The 20,533-nt window shown below is 43.5% G+C and overlaps 3 annotated features.

Annotated features, from left to right (window-relative positions):
* Positions 711-1,385: an enhancer, noted in NCBI's record as "H3K27ac hESC enhancer chr3:150539149-150539823 (GRCh37/hg19 assembly coordinates)". NCBI's record gives its function as "activates a minimal SCP1, AML or CMV promoter by ChIP-STARR-seq in naive H9 embryonic stem cells {active_cell/tissue: H9 hESC(naive)}" and the evidence as "EXISTENCE:reporter gene assay evidence [ECO:0000049][PMID:30033119]".
* Positions 15,646-16,167: an enhancer, noted in NCBI's record as "OCT4-NANOG-H3K27ac hESC enhancer chr3:150524367-150524888 (GRCh37/hg19 assembly coordinates)". NCBI's record gives its function as "activates a minimal SCP1, AML or CMV promoter by ChIP-STARR-seq in primed H9 embryonic stem cells {active_cell/tissue: H9 hESC(primed)}" and the evidence as "EXISTENCE:reporter gene assay evidence [ECO:0000049][PMID:30033119]".
* Positions 16,168-16,690: an enhancer, noted in NCBI's record as "OCT4-NANOG-H3K27ac hESC enhancer chr3:150523844-150524366 (GRCh37/hg19 assembly coordinates)". NCBI's record gives its function as "activates a minimal SCP1, AML or CMV promoter by ChIP-STARR-seq in primed H9 embryonic stem cells {active_cell/tissue: H9 hESC(primed)}" and the evidence as "EXISTENCE:reporter gene assay evidence [ECO:0000049][PMID:30033119]".

The following is a 20,533-nucleotide window of genomic DNA, read 5'->3' as shown; positions in this document are numbered from 1 at the left end:
AATCTGCTGTTACTAAACTGCTGGTGCTGAGATAAGACTCATTATTTATTGTCTAACTGAAATGTAAACATTTGAAATTTCTTTAAAACTGAAAAGAAAAGGCCAGGGTGGGAGGATCGCTTGAGCCCAAGAGTTCAAGACCAGCCTGGACAACATAAGGAGACCCCATCACTACAAAATAAAAAAATTAGCAGAGTGGTGGTGCATGCCTTTGGTCCCAGCTACTTAGGGGGCTGAGGTGGGAGGATCTCTTGAGCCCAGGAGGTTGAGGCTACAGTGAGCCATGAACACCCCACTGCACTCCAGCCTATGAGACAGAGTGAGACCCCATCTAAGAGACAGAGTGAGACCCCATCTAAAACAAAACAAAACAAAACAAAAACAAAACAAAAAATCACTGATGTGGCATGGATGGTGTCAAGCTACAAAAGAAAAAAACTATTAAAAATGCATTAAAAAAGGCTTTTTAAAAAAAATACCAAACTGCTCCCTCTCCCTCTCCCTCTCCCTCTCCCTCTCCCTCTCCCTCTCCCTCTCCCTCTCCCTCTCCCTCTCCCTCTCCCTCTCCCTCTCCCTCTCCCTCTCCCTCTCCCTCTCCCTCTCCCTCTCCCTCTCCCTCTCCCTCTCCCTCTCCCTCTCCCTCTCCCTCTCCCTCTCCCTCTCCCTCTCCCCTCTCCCTCTCCCTCTCCCTCTCCCTCTCCCTCTCCCTCTCCCTCTCCCTCTCCCTCTCCCTCTCCCTCTCCCTCTCCCTCTCCCTCTCCCTCTCCCTCTCCCTCTCCCTCTCCCTCTCCCTCTCCCTCTCCCTCTCCCTCTCCCTCTCCCTCTCCCTCTCCCTCTCCCTCTCCCTCTCCCTCTCCCTCTCCCTCTCCCTCTCCCTCTCCCTCTCCCTCTCCCTCTCCCTCTCCCTCTCCCTCTCCGTCCACGGTCTCCCTCTGATGCCGAGCCAAGGCTGGACGGTGCTGCTGCCATCTCGGCTCACTGCAGCCTCCCTGCCTGATTCTCCTGCCTCAGCCTGCTGAGTGCCTGCGATTGCAGGCGCACGCCGCCACGCCTGACTGGTTTTCGTTTTTTTTTTGGTGGAGACGGGGTTTTGCTGTGTTGGCCGGGCTGGTCTCCAGCTCCTAGCCGCGAGTGATCCGCCAGCCTCGGCCTCCCGGGGTGCCGGGATTGCGGACGGAGTCTCGTTCACTCAGTGCTCAGTGGTGCCCAGGCTGGAGTGCAGTGGCGTGATCTCGGCTCGCTACAGCCTCCACCTCCCAGCCGCCTGCCTTGGCCCCCCAAAGTGCCGAGATTGCAGCCTCTGCCCAGCCGCCACCCCGTCTGGGAAGTGAGGAGCGTCTCTGCTTGGCCACCCATCGTCTGGGATATGAGGAGCCTCTCTGCCTGGCTGCCCGGTCTGGAAAGTGAGGAGCGTCTCTGCCCGGCCGCCATCCCATCTAGGAAGCGAGGAGCGCCTCTTCCCCGCCGCCATCCCATCTAGGAAGTGAGGAGCGTCTCTGCCCGGCCGCCCATCGTCTGAGATGTGGGGAGCACCTCTGCCCCGCCGCCCTGTCTGGGATGTGAGGAGCGCCTCTGCTGGCCGCAACCCTGTCTGGGAGGTGAGGAGCGTCTCTGCCCGGCCGCCCCGTCTGAGAAGTGAGGAAACCCTCTGCCTGGCAACCGCCCCGTCTGAGAAGTGAGGAGCCCCTCCGTCCGGCAGCCACCCCGTCTGGGAAGTGAGGAGCGTCTCCGCCCGGCAGCCACCCCGTCCGGGAGGGAGGTGGGGGGGGGTCAGCCCCCCGCCCGGCCAGCCGCCCCGTCCGGGAGGTGAGGGGCTCCTCTGCCCGGCCGCCCCTACTGGGAAGTGAGGAGCCCCTCTGCCCGGCCAGCCGCCCCGTCCGGGAGGGGGGAGGGGGGGTCAGCCCCCTGCCCGGCCAGCCGCCCCGTCCGGGAGGGAGGTGGGGGGATCAGCCCCCCGCCCGGCCAGCCGCCCCGTCCGGGAGGGAGGTGGGGGGATCAGCCCCCCGCCTGGCCAGCCGCCCCATCCGGGAGGGAGGTGGGGGGTCAGCCCCCCACCTGGCCAGCCGCCCCGTCCGGGAGGGAGGTGGGGGGGGTCAGCCCCCCGCCCGGCCAGCCGCCCCGTCCGGGAGGGAGGTGGGGGGATCAGCCCCCCGCTTGGCCAGCCGCCCCGTCTGGGAGGTGAGGGGCGCCTCTGCCCGGCCGCCCCTACTGGGAAGTGAGGAGCCCCTCTGCCCGGCCAGCCGCCCCGTCCGGGAGGGAGGTGGGGGGGTCAGCCCCCCGCCTGGCCAGCCGCCCCGTCCGGGAGGGAGGTGGGGGGGTCAGCCCCCGCCCGGCCAGCCGCCCCGTCCGGGAGGGAGGTGGGGGGGGTCAGCCCCCCGCCCGACCAGCCGCCCCGTCCGGGAGGGAGGTGGGGGGATCAGCCCCCCGCCTGGCCAGCCGCCCCGTCCGGGAGGTGAGGGGCGCCTCTGCCCGGCCGCCCCTACTGGGAAGTGAGGAGCCCCTCTGCCCGGCCAGCCGCCCCGTCCGGGAGGGAGGCGGGGGGGGGGGTCGGCCAGCCGCCCTGTCCGGGAGGGAGGTGGGGGGGTCAGCCCCCCGCCCGGCCAGCCGCCCCGTCCGGGAGGTGAGGGGCGCCTCTGCCCGGCCGCCCCTACTGGGAAGTGAGGAGCCCCTCTGCCTGGCCAGCCGCCCCGTCCGGGAGGATGGTGGGGGGGTCAGCCCCCCGCCCGGCCAGCCGCCCCATCCGGGAGGTGAGGGGCGCTTCTGCCCGGCCGCCCCTACTGGGAAGTGAGGAGCCCCTCTGCCCGGCCACGACCCCGTCTGGGAGGTGTGCCCAGCGGCTCATTGGGGATGGGCCATGATGACAATGGCGGTTTTGTGGAATAGAAAGGCGGGAAGGGTGGGGAAAAAATTGAGAAATCAGATGGTTGCCGGGTCTGTGTGGATAGAAGTAGACATGGGAGACTTTTCATTTTGTTCTGTACTAAGAAAAATTCTTCTGCCTTGGGATCCTGTTGATCTGTGACCTTATCCCCAACCCTGTGCTCTCTGAAACATGTGCTGTGTCCACTCAGGGTTAAATGGATTAAGGGCGGTGCAAGATGTGCTTTGTTAAACAGATGCTTGAAGGCAGCATGCTCGTTAAGAGTCATCACCACTCCCTAATCTTAAGTACCCAGGGACACAAACACTGCGGAAGGCCGCAGGGTCCTCTGCCTAGGAAAACCAGAGACCTTTGTTCACTTGTTTATCTGCTGACCTTCCCTCCACTATTGTCCTATGACCCTGCCAAATCCCCCTCTGCGAGAAACACCCAAGAATGATCAATAAAAAAAAAAAAATAAAAATAAAAAAATTAAAAAAAAAAAAAAAGATGAAATGTATTTATACACCCATAAATACATAGAGCAGTAAGTATTCAATAATATTCAATAAATACTATTATTGTGGTTGAAACTTTAGAAAATTCAAAAAATTAGAAAGAGCAAGAAAAGGTAATCAATAATCCATCTTCCAAAGGCAACCGATATTAAAATGTTGAAGTATTTACTTACAATAAAATTTCTATGGATATTTGTACCCAGTGGAAAAAAAAAAAAAAAAAAAAAATACCAAACTGTCCTAAAGATGCTCTACCCAAATTTTGGTCTACAGCTTTCCTTACATTACCCAATAGGGCAAACAAAATTTAGCCATGTAAACAGATTTCAATTTTGACAGAAAAATAATTCTTATCCAGTGATCTTATATAAAATCTTAAGTTTATATTGCTATCTTACAGCTAGAATTCTAAGGTGAAACTATTGGATCTTTGTGGATATGTATTCATGTTTAGATATATTTATGTGATGTACATGTATTATGTTTTGTGTTGTGTCTTGCATGCTGTCAAATGGCTCATAATAAATAAATACTCATAAATTAAGTCAAAATGCATTTCAAGTTCACATGAATTTATCAATCTTTAATAAATAAACTGGCTTTAAAGTCACTGGTAAAATAAAAATAAAAATATCTTCAGAATCATCAGCATTCATTTTTGTTTAGGTAGGAAAGTTTTATATATGCCTGTTGGATATTTTAAGGTGTCAGGGTTTGACACAAAGGTTGTGAAACTATAAACCTAGACAAAAACAGAGTAATCTTTGTGTAACTTTTTTAAACAAAGACTAATTTAATGTTGTTGGTTCAATAAAAACAGCTAAATATTCTAAGTTATCGGCAAAACATTCGTGTGCTTAAGGTTCTTACTTAGGTGAACACCTGATGTTTGCAGACTTTAAAAAATGGTTAATAAGGAAATAACTTTAAATTATGACTAGCTTTGTGTAATATTTCAGTTTTCAGAAGTAAACTATTAAAAATGAAAGGGTTGAATACATGTAAATGGGATAAATGCTTGTAGGTGAACTTTTTGTGCAATTAAAAATTTAGTTGTTTTAAATTGAATAGTAAATGCACATTGGATGTCTGAGATATTTACAATTAAGAAAGGATTATGATATGGGGAAACATTTCTAAAAATCATGGCATGGTTTTATCTATAAAATCCTAACATCTGAAAAACAATTCAAGATTTCTTGCTTCCTGCATTCCCTTTGAAAACTGGCACAAGACAGGGATGCCCTCTCTCACCACTCCTATTCAACACAGTGTTGGAAGTTCTGGCCAGGGCAATCAGGCAGGAGAAGGAAATAAAGGGTATTCAATTAGGAAAAGAGGAAGTCAAATTGTCCCTGTTTGCAGATGACACGATTGTATATCTAGAAAACCCCATCGTCTCAGCCCAAAATCTCCTTAAGCTGATAGGCAACTTCAGCAAAGTCTCAGGATACAAAATCAATGTGCAAAAATCACAAGTATTCTTATACACCAATAACAGACAAACAGAGAGCCAAATCATGAGTGAACGCCCATTCACAATTGCGTCAAAGAGAATAAAATACCTAGGAATCCAACTTATAAGGGACGTGAAGGACCTCTTCAAGGAGAACTACAAACCACTGCTCAATGAAATAAAAGAGGATACAAACAAATGGAAGAACATTCCATGCTCATGGGTAGGAAGAAACAATATCGTGAAAATGGCCATACTGCCCAAGGGAATTTATAGGTTCAATGCCATCCCCATTAAGCTACCAATGACTTTCTTCACAGAATTGGAAAAAAACTACTTTAAAGTTCATACGGAATCAAAAAAGAGCCCTCATCACCAGGTCAATCCTAAGCCAAAAGAATAAAGCTGGAGGCATCATGCTACCTGACTTCAAACTATACTACAAGGCTACAGTAACCAAAACAGCATGATACTGGTACCAAAACAGAGATATAGATCAATGGAACAGAACAGAGCCCTCAGAAATAATGCCATGTATCTACAACTATCTGATCTTTGACAAACCTGACAAAAACAAGCAATGGGGAAAGGATTCCCTATTTAATAAATGGTGCTGGGAACACTGGCTAGCCATATGTAGAAAGCTGAAACTGGATCACTTCCTTACACCTTATACAAAAATTAATTCAAGATGGATTAAAGACTTACATGTTACACCTAAAACCATAAAAACCCTAGAAGAAAACCTAGGCAATACCATTCAGGACATAGGCATGGGCAAGGACTTCATGTCTAAAACACCAAAAGCAATGGCAACAAAAGCCAAAATTGACAAATGGGGTCTAATTAAACTAAAGAGCTTCTGCACAGCAAAAGAAACTACCATCAGAATGAACAGGCAACCTACAGAATGGGAAAAAATTTTTGCAATCTACTCATCTGACAAAGGGCTAATATCCAGAATCTACAGTGAACTCAAACAAATTTACAAGAAAAACAAACAACCCCATCAAAAAGTGGGCAAAGGATATGAACAGACACTTCTCAAAAGAAGACATTTATGCAGCCAAAAAACACATGAAGAAATGCTCATCATTACTGGCCATCAGAGAAATGCAAATTAAAACCATAATGAGATAGCATCTCACACCAGTTAGAATGACAATCATTAAAAAGTCAGGAAACAACAGGTGCTGGAGAGGATGTGGAGAAATAGGAACACTTTTACACTGTTGGTGGGACTGTAAACTAGTTCAACCATTGTAGAAGTCAGTGTGGCGATTCCTCAGAGATCTAGAACTAGAAATACCATTTGACCCAGCCATCCCATTACTGGGTATATACCCAAAGGATTATAAATCATGCTGCTATAAAGACACATGCATACATATGTTTATAGCGGTACTATTCACAATAGCAAAGACTTGGAACCAACCCAAATGTCCAACAATGATAGACTGGATTAAGAAAATGTGGCACATATACACCATGGAATACTATGCAGCCATAAAAAATGATGAGTTCATGTCCTTTGTAGGGACATGGATGAAGCTGGAAACCATCATTCTCAGCAAACTATCGCAAGGACAAAAAAACCAAACACCGCATGTTCTCACTCATAGGTGGGAATTGAACGATGAGAACACATGGACACAGGAAGGGGAACATCACACACTGGGGACTGTTGTGGGGTGGGGGGAGGGGGGAAGGATAGCATTAGGAGATATACCTAATGCTAAATGACGAGTTAATGGGTGCAGCACACCAACATGGCACATGTATACATATGTAACAAACCTGCACGTTGTGCACATGTACCCTAAAACTTAAAGTATAATAATAATAAAATTTAAAAAAAAAAGAGTCATGTATTTCCCTGCTATACTCATAACTTTGAATACACACTTCCTGTGTCTGATTAAATTCAAGCACTTTTTTCATCAAGTTTGGCTTCCAGGTAATCTCAGTGGGCTTCTCATAAGAAAAAGCAGTCACACCGCAAAAGGTTTTTCTTTGCCTTTTTGGTAACTAGCTTAAGAAACAACATTTTATATTTAATTAAGATAATTCCTATGTTGTCTTTATTAGGTTTTTTATTGCTTAGAAAAACAGATTTAAAAGGCTTAAGGTTTTTACATCCATATAACCTATATTTCCTTTAAAGTCTTTTGATAATCACTTTGGTTAAATGAGTAACTATTGTTTCACAATGACCTACGGTTCTGTTTTGATCAAATGTTTTGCATCCTTTAACATCTTTGACAAATGCCCTCAAAATCACATCTTAAATCTCTGACTTATTGCTGGGATTTATCAAAGCTATAAAAATTAATCACCACTGGCCAGGCATGGTGGCTTACTCCTGTATTCCCAGCACTTTGGGAGGCCAAGGAAGGAGGATCACTTGAGCCCAGGATTTTGAGACCATCCTGGGCAACAAAGTGAGATCCTGTCTCTACAAAAACAAAGTACAAAAATTAGCTGGGTGTGGTGGCCTGTGCCTATAGTCCTAGCTATCTGAGAGGCTGAGGCAGAAGGACGGCTTGAGTCCCAGAGGTCAAGGCTGTGGTGAACCACGATTGCATTACTGCACTCCAGCCTGGGTGACAGAGCAAGACCCTGCCTCAAAAAGAAAAATAAAATTAATCAGTGAAAGGTTGTAAAATGTTTTTAAAGCTTCTAGTCAGGTCATGGACTCCAGTGTCCCCATCTACAGCCCCTTGAAAAGGTTGTTATCCGGTACTATTAACTAATCCTTGTGCTGATAAGTTACAGGGTTTTTGACTTCTGAGTACAAATATCTCATCTAAAGAAGGCACGATATTCTTGCCAATATCTGACATCAAACTCAAGTTAACCAAAGCCTCATCTTTAGACTCAGGCAAAGGTGACAAAGTAAGCTGCTTTCATGAGACACAGGGACAGACCTATATTCAAAAACATTAATATTTATTTAATAATTTTGCCTCTGTCTAAATTAGTAGAATGTATTCTATACCTTGATACTAAATAATTTATTTGTTTAGCTACCTGTGAGCTTCCTTTCCTGTCATTCTCAGAACTAAGCAAGGCTTATGACCTTTTTGTTTGAAATGTTGCCAATTCTTTTTTTTTTTTGAGACAGAGTCTCGCTCTGTCGCCCAGGCTGGAGTGCAGTGGCGCGATCTCAGCTCACTGCAAGCTCCGCCTCCCGGGTTCACGCCATTCTCCTGCCTCAGCCTCCCGAGTAGCTGGGACTACAGGCGCCCGCCACCACGCCCAGGTAATTTTTTGTATTTTTAGTACAGACGAGGTTTCACCATGTTAGCCAGGATGGTCTCGATCTCCTGACCTTGTGATCTGCCTGCCTCAGCCTCCCGAAGTGCTGGGATTATAGCCGTGAGCCACCGCACCTGGCCAAATGTTGCTAATTCTTTATGTTTTGTTTTACCTCCAGAATTTGAAACTATTCAATCCCTCTAGGCCCAGGGACTATTACAGAAGACATGGGCATATGAGATTGTAAGGACTGGGTTTTGAGGAACACAATTAATTCAGACCTTCCAAATCAAGGATGGACACACAGATGCCTAAACAGCTAAACAAAATGCTTGTGTTTTATATAACTGATTGCTACAAGCAAAGATTATGGTAGCTCACTGCATAAAATTTATAGATAAGCCAATTTTATAACCTTGTTTTTTATCTTTTGTCTTTGGCTCTTATGTTGCTTAAAAGAGGTCTTAAGGGTTAGTATGTGCCTGCCTGTGTCCATTCCCATCTTGCCCAAAATGTTTAATTGGCTATGTCTTTTGACTCTAAGTCCCTTGGCCATAGGAGTCCCACCAAGGGACATGATGAACAGCAGGTCCACCCTGCTGATGATGCCATGATGACCACCCTGGCATCAATATGGGACAAAATAAAAGACTGGCCATCTATACTGCCTCTGGCATATCTTGACCAAATAAAAGGGGAAATACAAACAAACAAGAAGTTCTAAGCCCTCCAACATACTAAATGGAACCCCTTCTTGGCCAAAGGAGATCCCCCCCAAAAACCTGAAAAACTAATTTAGGTTTTTACAGAAAGCAGGGGGCTGGACACACCTCATTATACCCTCCCCACTTTGGAATTCAGATGCAACTGACCAACATTAACGTTAAAATATAGATCATAAAACTGACAAAACAGACTCTTTGTAACAATAAGATACCAAATTATAAACAGGACCCAGGACCATGCCAGGCAACAGTGAAGTCGCGCACTCCTACACTTCAAAAGTTATGTTCTAGCTGCCACAAGGTGTTTCTTTTTCACGAGCAGCCAAATGAGTACTGGATTCAAGATAAGCTGACTGACCCCTACTCCCTGTTCACCAGGCATAACTACAGCTTTAATTAGACAAGAGTCTGATTTCAGTACATTTCTCCTGATAAAAAGGTCACTGACCATGGACAAATGTTGGCTGGTATACAGAAATTGCACACTCAACGTGTATTTTTGTACATACAGGGTCTAATTATAGTACATTTATATTTTAAGTCTCCATCCCAAAATAAACATGGGTCATATGTTACATACATATTTAATACACATGTGTCAAGACCAACTTTATGAATATTCATAGCCCCTCCTATAACCTGTTAAATATGTATATTTAGCCAACCTGTTGTCATATCCCCACAGGAACTCCAGGTACAACTGACAATGGGAACTGTCCACCGTAATTAAGACTAAATGCTGTGTATACTTCCTGCACAACTCTGGAAATACACCCTCAGCCCTACAAGACGTGCACAAGCAAACTAGTGCTATGTCTAATCCTGTCATGTCCTTAAATCAAGGGTTCTCCTCATAATTCAGATCAGGCCCCTCCTAGTAAAAGAAGTTGCTCATAATTTCAGCCATGATTTTAAAAATAAGTTTATTCTTCTACTGTGGACTCTATTGCTATTACACACTCACCACTCACACTCCAATAAATATCTTCTGTATTTTTCAGAAGTTTTCAAAAATTTTTCAAGGTCAGAGACTCAGAAAAGTTTTCAATTACAAGTGGACAGGTTTTCTTCTGTTGCCCCCTAGCTGTGCCCCCTTTTCAGTAGGAAGTAGTCAAATTGACATCTCCCACTTTCCATAAAAACGGAATATAATTTCACAGTGGGGAGCTGTAACCAAGTATCTAAGCCTCAAATTACATGTTAAGGTTTTTTCCCTTTCCTTCCTAATCTCGAAGTACAGCCTTGAAATGTACTTTAAAACTCTTCGCTTCCCTCCTTTCCCACCAGGCACTCCTGTGTACAGTGCTTGCTTATCTAATTATGTGCTTGCTTAGAAATTCTAGGGGCTAATTTTAAAGCAAATCAGACAGAGACTTGACTGCAGAATCCTCCCGCTTAGGGGAGTTATGAACAATGAATTCACCACCACCAGGCCAAAGTCAAGATGAGCCAACCAGACCTCCAGATGGGCAATTCCTCAAGATGACCATCAGGAAAAGGCACACAGACCTGTACCCTCCTGCATCACTCATCCATGTTTCTCATACCAAGTTTTCCTTCATTCAGTCCAAACAGCAGAGATGATTCCTTTGAGGCTGGTACCCAATCATTCTCCCGTCTGCTAGCATTTGAATAAAAGCTGCTTTCTTTTCACCACACCTCGCTTCTTGTGCTTTGACTTCTGAGTGGTAAACAGCCAGACTTGAGTCAGCTACCTCTCTATAGCCCCAAATCCAGTTTTACCACCACAGCGAGCTATGTGACTGGTGGGAGTGTCATAATCCTGGAGTGTACCATGGAGTGGAAGGTTAAGAACAAACCTGCATGTGTGTTGTTTTTTGTTTGTTTGTTTGTTTTTGAGACAGAGCCTGGCTTTGTTGCCCAGGCTGGAGTACAGTGGCACAATATCGGCTCACTGCAATCTCCGCCTCCTGGGCTCAAACAATTCTCCTTCCTCAGCCTCCCAAGTAGCTGGGACTACTACAGGTACGCACTACCACATCCAGCTAATTTTTGTATTTTTAGTAGGGACGGGATTTCACCATGCTGGCCAGGCTGATCTCGAACTCCTGACCTCAGGTGATCTGTCCGCCTCGGCCTCCCAAAGTGCTAGGATTACAGGTGTGAGCCACTGTGCCCAGCCCACATGTGTGATCTTTATTGAAAAACATACTGTGAAATAAAAACTGACCATGAAAATACAGAGCATATGTTTGCTACAACTGTTTATAAGACGACAGCTTTCTAACTGGGCTCAACTGGTTTTCCATCTCAAGATTGTACATACTGCTCCCCTCCCTCACCTCCACCCACTTATTTTGCACTCTCTAGAAAGAGAAGTTAAAATTCATAAGGCATTTTAACGCAGTGAACAGCACAGGGTTTTCCCTACCCATACTCTCTACCTGTCAGATACTGCAGGACAGAAGAATTCTAACCAAATTCCCTTTGTTATAATTTAAAAATATTTAGGAATATATTTAATGAAACTTTCTGACCTTTGATTTCTAGATGTAAATATGCTCATCCAGGAGTCTCTTGGGAATGGAAAATTTTATTTTATGACCTATATAATTATGAAATTCTTTCTTTCCTTCAGCACATTGCATTTTTTCCGACAGTTATAAAAGGAGTCATTCAATAGACAAGAACTTGACAGGAAAAATCAATTGAGCTTAACATTATTTGAAAACAATTAGACTATTTTCAAAAAGCATTTTTTATTTTCCATTTTGATTTAAAATAAACTTATACACTAATAGATCATATGCATCTGTAGAAGAATCTTGAAATTAAAATCAAGAATTCCCCATAAAGTCTAAACAGATTTCCCTTGTATCACAGAATAGATGAGTATCAGAAAAGTTGCTGCAAAACAACTCCTCCTTTCTCATATTCACTATAAAATAGGAGATGTGTCCATTGGAGAGAAAAAGCTTAGGTTTTATGAAATCAAGATGGCATCCAAATCCAGGGCATGCTGGGTAGTGCAGACTCCAGAGGGGTTAGACCTCATTGGAGTCATCCTGTCCATTTGCCCACTGAACACTGCAGAACCATCCTGACACCAGAGCTCTTCCCTCAGTCCTTTCATCTTTTTGTTGTCCTACTCCACAGGAATTTCTGCACAGTAGAAGAACCCCTGACTGAAATTCTGCTCCTTTCTTTCTTTAGTTGAAGAAATTAAAATGCTCTGACATGCCTTTGCTCATCTTTGCCGACTTATTCCTACACATGCTTCAAAAATCAGGTCAGATGCCTCCTCTTCCAGAAACCCTTCTCTGACAAACCATTCTCCTATTGTTCCACCAAACTGATTCAATAATACATACAATGACAGATTATTCCATCCACATTTTTTTTTTTTTTTTGAGATGGAGTCTCACTCTGCCACTCAGGCTGGAGTACAATGGCGCAATCTCAGCTCACTGCAACCTCCACCTCCCAGGATCAAGCGATTCTCCTGCCTCAGCCTCCTGAGTAGCTGGGATTACAGGCACGCACCACTATGCCGGGCTAATTTTTGTATTTTTAGTAGAGACGGGGTTTCACTGTGTTGGCCAGCCTGGATACTTCTTAATGTAAAGATTTTAGAGTCTGTAAAATAAATCACTATTTAATAAACTAAATATTTAACACTCCATATGTTGATTTTACTTAACCCAGTATAAATATAAAATAGACTCTATAGTGATTTTAAAATTCTCATTCACTGTGAAAGAATGAAAATTACGCCCAAATATTCATTTCCCTTCTTCTATATTACTACAGTAGTATTAAAAGTTTTCATCTGGACACACAGCCTCCCAGAATACATTTCCCAGGCTCCTGTGCAGCCAGATGTAGCTACATAACTCAGTCCTGGCCCAACTGTATGTGAGAAGAAGCTAGCAGTGCAAATACCAAGCTGGGTTCTTAAAGGGAAAGGGTGAATGCTCAATGTTATCAAATGGTACCAAACATGCTCAATAAATGTTAACTTAAAAAAAAAAAAGTAGGTATGACTAGAACCCAGAGGGCAATCTGAAGAGTTATCAGAGAGTAAGTAGGCTGGAAGGGATAGTCTATGAGCAAATCAAAGATTTTGGGATTTCATCCTAAAGCCTAAGGGAAACTCCAAAAAAAAATTTAAGCAGGAGGCTGACATGAGTCAGATAGATTTCTCCCTTAGAGTGCTCAATCTGGCAGCAGAGTAGCACATGGATCAAAAGAGTCAGGCCCTCTCTCCAAATGGACCACAGTAACTTTGCACAAAAACATTCCACACATTGCACCCCCTAAATACGTTTCGTGAAATCTAGAGGTGAAAATGGGGTAGACCAAGTAGTGTAAACAGATTATCTACCTGATAATGACAATTCACAACTGTCTGATGGGGGCTCGCTGCCTTGTCTCTGTGTAGGAAGGAAAGCATATTATTGCTTTTGTCATTATAAATCTATAATAACCTAAGTTGCTATGAAAAAAAAAGTCCTTGGTCATAAGACCAAGAGTATCATTTTCCACATAGGATTAAGCTATTACAGAACGGTGCCCCATGAACGGTATAAATTCACTAAAGCTCTTCTCAGGATGAAACCTGATCTATCTTAGTCTGGTTTTTCCACGCGAGTGTATCAGGAAAATCCTCAGGACTTTGCCCATTTGTTGACATCCTTTGGAAGACCCAAGAGTATTGAACAGAACACTGGGAGCAGATGCTGCTGGGGGGATCCTCCAGAAAATCTCCACCTGGAGTTGGACTGACCAGCCCTTTCCATGACATGATCTTCCTTCTTTCAGGAATGGGGGAAACCAGTACAATTGTGATCCTTTTGCTTAAGGAATACCAAGTAAGGCTTGGATACTCCCCTGTAAAATGTCTGCGTATCTGTGCTGAGGGAAAATAAATAATATATGCAAATCCTTGCTGGAAGGTTAGGGGAGGGCTTTCCTTCCCAAATAAAGTAAAATAAAAATCACTATGAACCAAGAGTTCATTTCTTCACGGGTCGTGAGTGTAAGCAAATTTACCAAAAGTCTGAAAGCTCTCCTGGGGAAGACAAAAAGCACTAGAGTACCACCTCCATTTTCTGAAAGGGTAGCCAGTCGGGTCTGCAGAGGCTCAGCTATAAAGGTATAAATGACTCCTTGGTTGTCTGCCCAAATCACCAAGGGAGCAAAACCAGCCTTCAAGGCCTCACCCCCTTCAGACAATTAAGTCTCATCTTCAAGCAGGGAATGGAAATGGGGCTGGTAATATCTGAATATTCTTGAGATACTACATTTGATATGCAAAACCCTTTGGCCTGTCTTTGTCTCTTGATGTCCAACAATGTATGTTCTGTTATGATTAAATGGCAAATCATAAGTAGCTCTAGTTCCTGGGTGGGGGGCGGTATGAGGAAGTGTGGGGAGCAGCTGCTCCCCACATCCTAGGTCCAGGGGCTAGGACAAGGCTAGATCTGGAAACTCTCTACTGGGGTCACCACTCCTAAGAGAGTTGTGGTCAAGGAAAAATAGTAAACAGCAGCAACCATCCTGAAGAACCTCAATCCAGAGGGCAAGACACAGCATCTGCACAGTGGAAGGTATATCTGAGGCCAGAAAAAAAAGTAACCAGAAGATGACTAAAGCTATCTGAAGTCAACAGGGATGTGGAAGGATGAAATGGAGGAGAGGAGGTCTAGACAGAGACAGGGCTGGATTTGGATGTCAAGTAGGAATGGTCCAAGAATATACTCTAAAGATTATGAATTGTCATGAGATGCTGCATCTTGACAAAGATGAGAATGTAATTGGTTTGCTTCTGTGGGGTCACAAACAGGGCCTCACAGAAACAGCCTTCCACCCACATCTACTGGCAGATGCTTGGGTACACAATAAGCACGCTGAACCAAATCCCTGTCTCATGTAGAGAAGTCCCAGCACTAAGCAGGACTCCTCTCCCACTCCATGGCAGCCTGGGCCTTGAGGAATCTTTGGGTCTGACATCACTGGCTGAAGCCGTGGGAGCAGAGGTCTCACTCACTCAGTGTAAAATTCCTTTACAGGACTGTCTCAGTCTCTTCTCCTGCTATAACAAAATAACTTAGACTAGGTAATTTATAAATAGAAACTTATTTCTCACAACTCTGGAGGCCAGAAAGTCCAAGATCAAAGTGACAGCAGATTCAGTGTTTGGTAAAGTTTCACTTTCTGCTTTTAGCCTGTAATCCCAGGATTTTGGGAGGCCAAGGCCGGTGGATCACCTGAGGTCAGGAGTTCGAGACCATCCTGGCCACTGTGGTGAAACCCTGTCTCTACTAAAAATACAAAAATTGGCCAGGCGTGGTGGCGGATGCCTGTAATCCCAGCTACTTGGTAGGCTGAGGCAGGAGAATCGCTTGAACCCAGGAGGCGGAGGTTGCAGTGAGCTGAGATCACACCATTGCACTCCAGCCTGGGCGACGAGAGCAAAACTCCATCTAAAATAAATAACTAAATAAAAAATAATAAATCCACAATCTCCCCATGTCCTCACATAGAAGAAAGGCATTAACTCTGTGTCCTCAAGTGGCAAAAAGACAAAAAATGGGATGAACTCATTCCCTCAAGCCTTCTGTAAGAGCATGAATCCCATTCATGAGGGCAGAGTCCTCATGACCTAATCATTTCCCAAAGGCCCCATCTCTTAATATTATCACCTTGAGGGTTAAGTTTCAAATATGAATTTTGGAGAGACACCAACCTTCCGGCATAGCAAGGACCCTAAAAGAAAGAGGCCTTAATGCTCAGTCTAGTAGAATAACAGTGTTATCTATTTTTAAAATGTAGCCAAAACAACATGATGCTGAATGGCAAGGAGCCTTCTTACTATTTGGGCATTCAATAAAAATGAGTGTATGTGCCCCAAATTCTCTTTGGATTATACATTTAAAAAATAACAATCAGGCACAGAAGAAAATTACATGAAACACACCAGGAGACACACACAACCTTAGAATTCTGTCTCTGAAGAGGGTACATTCACCTATTGTAGGTCCACCTCCAATCTCCTAGTCCCCTCGTATCTGAAAGTCTAACTTTTCATATGGGAATTCACAGTTAAGACTCTGAATTCCTGGAGACTGGGTCTTGTCTGCTTATTATCGGGGCAACCTCCTGTTGTGTCACAGGCATGGCTAACGTCCCATTATGGCTTCTCCGTTACTTAGCTCTAATTATTCTAAATTAGTGTTTTCCCATGGCACATCAAAATGGAGGAGCAAAGCCTCTTCTCTCTCTTTGAACATCTCATCTATTCCTCATCCTTGAAACATTCCAGAGACAGGTAGCCTAGCTACCCAGGATGCTAATTGCTTCTGACAAAAGAGACCATTAGAAGATTAGCCTTTCAGAGGTGAGGAACAATGAAAATGAGACAAATTCTGTTGATTCCAACACCCCTTTGTCATGAGCTTACCAAACCTTTCAATGATTTCTGCATTTGAAAAGCAGAAATTGTTTATTTGCAGACTGGAGGAAGCTTCAAGATTATTGTTCAGTGTCAACAACTAGAACAGAAAAAACGCCCAAAATATGCATATGTAAATTCATCCCATCTCACAGTTATCTCTGAGGAATTCATGATTTATTATACAATACTGCCTCTGTATTGAAGTTAATTACATACGTGCATTATCTCTTTTACTAGATTGGGAAAGTCTGAGAGGGCAGAGAAAATACTTATTGTTTCTTTACTTCTAGGAACAAGCTGAAGAGTATAACCATGCATACACACACTCACACTGTATGTCCAAAGCCTAGCACAGAACCTTTCCTATTATTGTAATAACTTTAGTTGAGTAGCACTCTTAACCATCAAAAACAAAAAAAAGTTTTCAAAGATTTAACAAAAGCAAGATGTACAATTGTCAATACAGATTGTGCCCAATATTTTCAAATATAGCTATGTAGATATTGATGCATACAAAGGAGATAGGTAGATAACACCAGAATGTTAATGATACTCATTCTGAGTGGTAGAATCGGTTTTTTTAATTCACAAAAATTTGAAGTCTTTAAAAAATGAACATGTATCATTTTTACAGTCAGGAAAATATTTCTAAAAATATTTCTGTAGTAAGGTTGTATATCTAAATTGTTAAACGGACTCAGGCATAATTTCCAAGTTGCTGAGAGCATCTAAGTTTGCAGTGAGTGCTTAAGAGTTTATAAAGGAGAAAAGGGAGAATAAGATGGAGATTATTACATTCTGTGTTTCCTGAGTCTCCAAGATTTGCTGCCCTCTGAACATGACTGAATAGACCGTATGGGAAAGACTTCCCACTTCCACAATCATCACAAAGCCCCTGGGGCCCACAGCTACAGATGACTCTGGGTTCCTGTCAGCAGATCCCCAAAGCCCTGCTACTGGGAAGGTGATGAACTGGGAGAAGAATGGTAGGCATGTACAACCTGGGACTAGCACATATGGAGCCTCTATGCAAATTACAGAAAATTATGCAAATTACAGATGAGTTTCATAAGGCCCCTTCCTTGCCAGACTGACTTTCTGCTCCGTCCTGCACTCTGGCATCTCTGTACATGGCACAAACTGCCATCCTCTGCTTCAGAGCAGACGATAGGTAAATATATAAGTAATATCACTAGATCTTTGTCAAATCTCCTCCATAGGCATTCTACCATTTTGCCTTCCCACCAGCAATGTAAGAGAGCTTCAATTTCCCCAGTCTTGTCAACAGTGATCTAACTTTTGAATTTTTGCTAGTTTTACACCTCAGCAGAGTAGTTTTTATTATTTTTTTCCTGTCTTGAGTTTTGTTTTTAGCCATCTTAGGGGGCTGTTTTGTCTCCCTCATCACTAACGCTTGGAGGAGGTGTCCTTTTCATTCATCTTTGCCACTTTGAGGCCATTGTGCCCCTCTCTCCTGAATCCCCAGCTCCAAATCTCATGTATAATCAGTCTCCATTATCTACTAACCCATAGCAAACCCCAGGTCTTTCCCTCTCACCTCTGTGAGTTCAGCTTCTCTCAGTGTAATTTTGCCTTGCATTTCTCACGTTTTGAATTAAACTAAGCATTTTATTTATTAGTGTAAGCTATTTGCAATTCTTTTTCTGTGAATTCTTCGTTTGTATGTCTTGTCCATTTTTAAAATCAACCTGTTTATTTTCAAAGGGTGAATTATTCAGGGGAGAATTTTGCAATAGCAAAGCAGAGAACATCAATCAGAAATTCTGAAAGCTAAAAATAATTTTTTCCCTATATTTAAACACCAGCAAATATTTCCTGCCATTCTCAATACTCATCCCTAGAATTTGTCATTAGCTGGAAAGAAAAGCAAACTTGAGCAACCAAGGTAGAAGTTAGTGATGCTAATTCTTTTAAACATAAGAATATTTTCCCGATCAATCAGATTTTTAAGACACGCTGAAATTAACTTATGCATAATGTATTCTCAGATTTAATAGTTAAGAGTTTTGTTAAAACAGATCTTATTATGAAAGATTTTAATTAAAGTAAAATCATTTACTTCATCTTAAAATGTTTGATATTTTATTTTAATAAAAAAATTACATGCTATTGTAGCAATTAGTTTTTAGCCATATTTACCTTTCTCTTTTATTAAATTGAAAAGGTTTGATTAGAATGTCCAAAGAAATAAAATTATTTCGAATTATTATGCTAAATTCAAATATAATTACTCTTCAAGACAGAATACCAGGGTTTCTGTGTGCTCCCACATTTAATTATAGGAGTACCAGGCCTTTATCAAACAAGTAGTTTCCACAGTAAAATAGCTTACAATGTGAGCTACAAATTGCACTGTATTATTATAAATTTTTAAAATAGCATATTAAATTTGTTTTTATAATTTACTGTATTAGGATTCTATCAAAGAAACAGAACCACTAAGATGTGATTTGTTACAGGAATTGGACCTCCTACAATTATGGGAGCTGATTAACAGTTTCTGTGAGGCTCTTCTCTTCCAGTCTGATGCTGGAGAGGCAATCAAGAGGGAAAGGCAGGTGGAAAGTGAGGGACAGCAAGAACAAGCTGGAACCCACAAGCACATCCGCAGCTCACAAAGCCAGCTAAAACCTGTGTCAGTTCCTGCTGCCTCTGACCGTAATGGTATGGGTGTCCTGGAGAAGCCAGGTTCCTTTGTCGTGTAGCTAAACACACATACATGCCTAGGAGTCAGAAAAACTAAAGAAGGATCCAGGGAAAGGTGCTGCAATTGCAGATCCAGCTGCTGCCTCTCACCACGAGGTGAGCTGGCAGGTAAATGACAACGCACGTGAACTACAAAATGGCTGCTGCTTCATTTTCAGCCTCCAAATCCCCCAAGACTCTCTCTTGTGGTGCACATGAACAGAAACATAGGAAAGGGAAGTCTAGGCACTGTATTTCAGCCTAGCCGATTTGACATATATCGAAGCCACGGCAGTCTACCTCTTGTCAACTTGGCACCCATATGTATGGTAGATGCATATATTAGTTCATTTTCACACTGCTAAAAAGAACTACTTGAAACTGGGTAATTTACAAAGAAAAGAGATTTAATTGACTCACAGTTCCACATGGCTGGGAGGCCTCAGGAAACTTACAATCACGGTGGAAGGCAAAGGAGAAGCAAGCCCTTTCTTCACAAGGCGGGAAGCGCCACACTTTTAAACCATCAGATCTCATGAGAACTCTATCGTGAGAACAGCAAGGGGGAAGGCCACTCCCATAATCCAATCACTTCCCATAAGGACCGTCCTTCAACATATGGGGATTACAATTCGACATGAGATTTGGGTGGGGACACAGAGCCAAACCTTTTCAGTGCACTTGACAGCATAGACCCTGAGAATGACCCTGTATGATAGGTGCATCTGAATATTTGTTCAGAATTCTGAGCTAAGGAATTCAGGAATGGCCAACCAGGAGCTTCATTCTTATCTATAAGAAACACCTGAGCCCCTGGATGGTCCTGTGGAACACCTGCTGTATGGGAGAATCAAGGCCTTTTCTTTTGGGTTAACAGTAAGGTTGCCAGGTGGAGATTGTTGGGGGGAGTGCTAAGTGAAAATGCTATATAAGCTACATGCTTTCTACAAGCGGCTGCAGTTCTCTTGCCCATCCTGTCACCACTGGTTTGCTCTATATGTACGTTTCCCCACTAATAAAGCCCTATGTCTCATTTGCTGCCTCCGGGTCTCTTCATGAGCCTCTTGAACATGGTGTCATCTCTGTTGAAGCTAATAGGGGTCCAGCATGGCACCATACTCGTGTCCTTAAGCCATACATCTCCAAAGAAAGACAAAAGCAAAGCCATAGTTTGCCTACATACCTGACACACAACCAAAACACACAAATCCAGGAGTGGATGCAAAATCTTTTTGTTTTTCTTGGGTAATGTTCCTTTTTCTCATGGCAGATTCACACTTCCCCTTTGCTATCCTGTAACTTAAGTACTAAGAAATTAAATACTTTGAACACATTTTGTGTTCGATGACAAAAGGATAATAAGGGAGGAAAAAACTCAAACATATTCTGTTAATATTTTGCAACTGGGCATGTGCTTATAGTTCTCACCTTTCATAGCTGAGTTGCCCTCAGCACATGCCTCAGCTAATCCAGGTTCCTTACCAGGTGGAGTAGATAAACCAATTCTAACAGGTCCAGGTAATTTAAATAATAACATTGCTGCTTTTGTAATCTGGCTTGCAGTTTATTTCCCAGTGTTTTTTATAATATCCC

The sequence above is a fragment of the Homo sapiens genome, chromosome 3 (assembly GCF_000001405.40).
Source record: "Homo sapiens chromosome 3, GRCh38.p14 Primary Assembly".
Classification (NCBI taxonomy): Eukaryota; Metazoa; Chordata; class Mammalia; order Primates; family Hominidae; genus Homo; species Homo sapiens.
The sequence above is the reverse complement of the archived record's forward strand: the minus strand, read 5'-3'. Positions and strand labels throughout refer to the sequence as shown.